Here is a 4,286-nt window from a genome sequence, read left to right as displayed (position 1 = left end):
AAAGCTTGTTTGGTGGTCTCTTCACACGGACGCGCATGACAAAACCTATGAGGAAAGGAAGTGCATTCTTGTACAGTTTCTATTCAACTTAAAATGCCCACAAACTCATCTTTATTGAAATCAAACCCTTTTTCCCTAAAATAAATATATTTACACACAATGCCTGAACCCCTCTGCCTCCTTGTAGCCAAGTGTGGTTCAAAGACCTGATTTCTGGGCACTGCCAGCTTTGCGTTATAAGACACACCTATGTTATGTGTTTAAATCATCTAACTTGTATATCAGTTTTCTATTGTGTATTATTTTCTATTAGTGTTTCTGTTGCATTTTAATTTTTTATGGCAACATAACAAATGACCACAAATAGCACTCACAATATCCATTCATTATCTCACAGTCCTGGTGGCTCAGCTGGGTCTCTGCCTGGGCTCTCTCCAGGTGAGACGGTGGCTTCTTACCTGGAGAATCTGGGCAGGAATCCATCTCCAGCTTCCTTCAGGTTGGCAGGATCCAGTTGCTTGTGGTTGTAGGACTGAGGTCTGCTCCCTGTTCCCCTGCTGGCTGTCAGCTGGGGGCTGCTCTGCTCCCAGATCCTGAAGGCCGCTGCCTTCCTCATCACCTGGCTGCCTCAACTTTCAAGTCACCAGGGGCTGAACAAAACCTTTTCAGGTTTGGAATCCCTCTGACTGGCCGTTCCTGCTGCCAGCAAAAGTTCTCTGTTTTAAGGGCTCATGAGAGGTCCGGTGTGCCAGATCACAGAGCCCATCGCACTGTTGGAAGTGGTAGTGTCTCATCCCACTCACAGCTTCTGGAGACTGGGGTCATGGAATACAGAGGAGTGTCTTTAAAATTCTATCCAGCGCCATTCCCAATTTTTCCTCATTATAAATACCAGTGATAACCTTTGCATAAAAAAACCTTGTACTTGTGTCTACCAATTTTGTTAGATAGGATCCAGAAGTTGACTGTGTTAAAGGATGTGAATGCTTTATGGTCCTTGTTATGTTTCAATTAATGAAGTATGAACTCCCAGGAGCGGTGTGCAAGTGTGACCTCACTGTCATTTTGCCAGCATTATTGTCAGAGGCATTTAAACCAGAGCAACTCCATTTTAAATAGGAGCTGGGTAAAATGAGGCTGAGACCTACTGGGCTGCACTCCCAGACAGTTAAGACATTCTAAGTCGCAGGATAAAACAGGAGGTCAACACAGAATACAGGTCATAAAGACCTTGCTTATAAAACAGTTTGTGGTAAAGAAGCCAGCCAAATCCCACCAAAATCAAGATGGCCACCAGAGTGACCTCTGGTCGTCCTCACTGCTACCCTCCCACCAGCGCCATGACAGCTTACAAATGTCAGGGTAATGTCAGGAAGTTACCCTATTTGGTCTAGAAAGGAGAGGCATGAATAATTCACCCCTTGGTTAGCATATAATCAAGAAATAACCATAAAAATAGGCAACCATCAGCCCTCAAGGATGCTCCATCTATGGAGTAGTCATTCTTTTATTCCTTTACTTTCCTAATACACTTGCTTTCACTTTAATATATGGACTTGCCCTGAATTCTTGCATGAGATCTAAGAACCCTCTCTTGGGGTCTGGATTGGGACCCCTTTCCTGTAACATAATACACTTAAAAACATTTGGCACATTGAAAGATGTCTGTGGTCTATCATTCTTTTCAATTTGCATTTAACAGTTTCATTGAACATATATATGTTCATATGTTTTTGGCTTAGCTGTATTTCTCTGACAATTCTGAAACTGCTTCTGAAAATTCTATCAGTGAGAAAATTATGACAGTGAAAGAGATGTGAGCTAACCCACACCCCATCTTGCCTTTCCCTTAATTATTCCTGGGCTGTTGGGCCAAGCTAACTCTGAGAGACTTTTTTTTTTTTTTTTTTTTTTTTTGAGAAAGATTCTTGCTCTGTCACCCAGACTAGAAAAAGAAAATCTTTCTTTTTCTCTCTTTCTTTCTTTCTCTTTCTCTCTTTCATCTTTCTTTCTTCCCCTTCCTTCCCTTCCTTCCTTCCCTTCCTTCCTTTCCTTCCTTCCTTCGTTCTTTCTTTCTTTCTTTCTTTCTTTCCTTCCTTCCTTCCTTTCTCTCACTCCAGTGTCCAAGCTGAAGTGCAGTGCACTGAACATGGCTCACTGCAGCCTTCACCTCTTCAGCTCAAGCAATCCTCCAACCTCAGCCTCCAAGTAGCTGGGACTACAGATGCATGCCACCATGCCCAGCTAATTTTTGTATTTTTTGTAGTAACAGGATTTCACCACATTGCCTAGTCCGGTCTCAAACTCCTGGCCTAAAGAGAGCCTTACACCTTGGCCTCCCAAAGTGCTGGGATTATAGGCATGAGCCACTGCACCTGCCCAGGAACAGAATATCGACCGCCATTTTAAAAGAATTCAAGAAGTTTGCTTGAATTCATGATCAAGCAGCTCACCAGCTGGGAATAATATAATGCCAATTTTTAGAGTAATGGCTAAATAAATCAGGATATAGCCATAGAACAGAATACTATGTAGAAAGCGAGAATGAAGTATTCCTTTATTTCTTCTTAAGGAAATACCTCTAAGCATAACATTGAGAAAGAATGAGGTATTCCTTTATTTCCTATTAAAGAAAGAACTCTAATCATAGCTTTGAGTGATAAAAGCAGGTCGTACGCTATAATAACATTTAAATAATGCACACAAAATATAGCATATTTTAATTATATAGGAATGTTTATATGCATTCCATATTGCGACAGTTAATTTTACATATCGCATGGCTAGGCCATGGCCGAATACTATCTTAGATGTTTTTGTAAAGGTATTATTTAGGTAAGATTAACATTTAGATCAGTGTACTTTGAATAAAACAGATTACTCTCCGTAGTGGGATGGGCCTCACTTAATCAGTTGAAGGCCTTAAAAGAAATAAGGCTGACCTCCCCCAAGGAAGAAGGAATTACATCTCCAGGCTTTCTTTGGACTCAGGGTGCAACATCACTTCTTCCCTGGGTCTCCACACTGATGGCTGGAGTTACCCTGCCTGCATATTTTGGACTTGCCAGCTTCCACAATTGTGTGACCCAATCCCTTACAATAAATCTCTCTCTCTTCTCTCTCTCTTTCTGTCCCCCTCTCTCTCTCTCTCTCTATATATATATATACACACACATAAATATATATAGATATATACACATATGTATATATACATAAACCTATGTATATATACCTATTCCTTACCAATTCCTTACAATAAATCTCTCTCTATTCTCTCTCTTTCATTCTCTCTCTCTATATATATATGCATACACACATATATATATACATGTATGTATATATACATAAATATATGTATACATAGATATGTGTACATAGATATGTATGTGTACGTAGATATGTTTATATAGATATGTATTTGCACATATGTATATGCACACTTATCTATGCATACCTACATATATTTATGTACACATATGCATGTGTATGTGCACGTATATGTATGTGTACATATATGTATATGCATATATACACAGGTGCATGTATACATGTGTATATATACATGCATATACACATGTATGTATACATGTGTACATCATATATACATATATGTGTATACATACACATATATGTGCATAGATATATATGCACACACATATATATACACACACACACGCAAATGCTCACCCATGCACCTGCTCATACACACACTTCTGGAATTGGGTAGGGAAGGAAGGACAGAAGGGACCAGGGACATTTTAGACTTACCTGAATTGTTTTCATTTTTTAACAAAGAAAACGTATGCAAGCATTAATTTTGCAATTAAAAGGCATTCAAACATTTTGCTGCAGGCACTGACCAATATCCCCTGTGAAATATCGCTAATGTCATGTTACTTACCCCTGTTAATGTTACAAAATTACACTATTTCTGTTTTCTGCTTTCCTAGTTTCCTGTTGCACCGTTTTTGATCTCTGCATGGTTCCACTGTCATCTAGCTTTTTGAAAAACTCATTTTGTTTGCTCTCCTTCCAGGTCCTGGCTTCCTGTCCTGGCCATCCAATCATATCCACCCAGAGCAGGCCAGGTCTGAACCGTCTATTTTCTTCCACTGACATAGAAAGATGAGATGCGTCAGCACCCTTGCAAACATGAAAGCCTAGCCAGTGAAGTGCTGAGTGCTGGAAGCTTTGCCTGGGCATGAACAGGTAGAGAAACTGGAGATTCTGTATCAGATGAAGTGACTCAAAGGGACAGAATGGCCATCTTTGGACAGTTTAAGAGC

This window comes from Homo sapiens, chromosome 7, assembly GCF_000001405.40.
Source record: "Homo sapiens chromosome 7, GRCh38.p14 Primary Assembly".
NCBI lineage: Eukaryota > Metazoa > Chordata > Mammalia > Primates > Hominidae > Homo > Homo sapiens.
The sequence above is the reverse complement of the archived record's forward strand: the minus strand, read 5'-3'. Positions refer to the sequence as shown.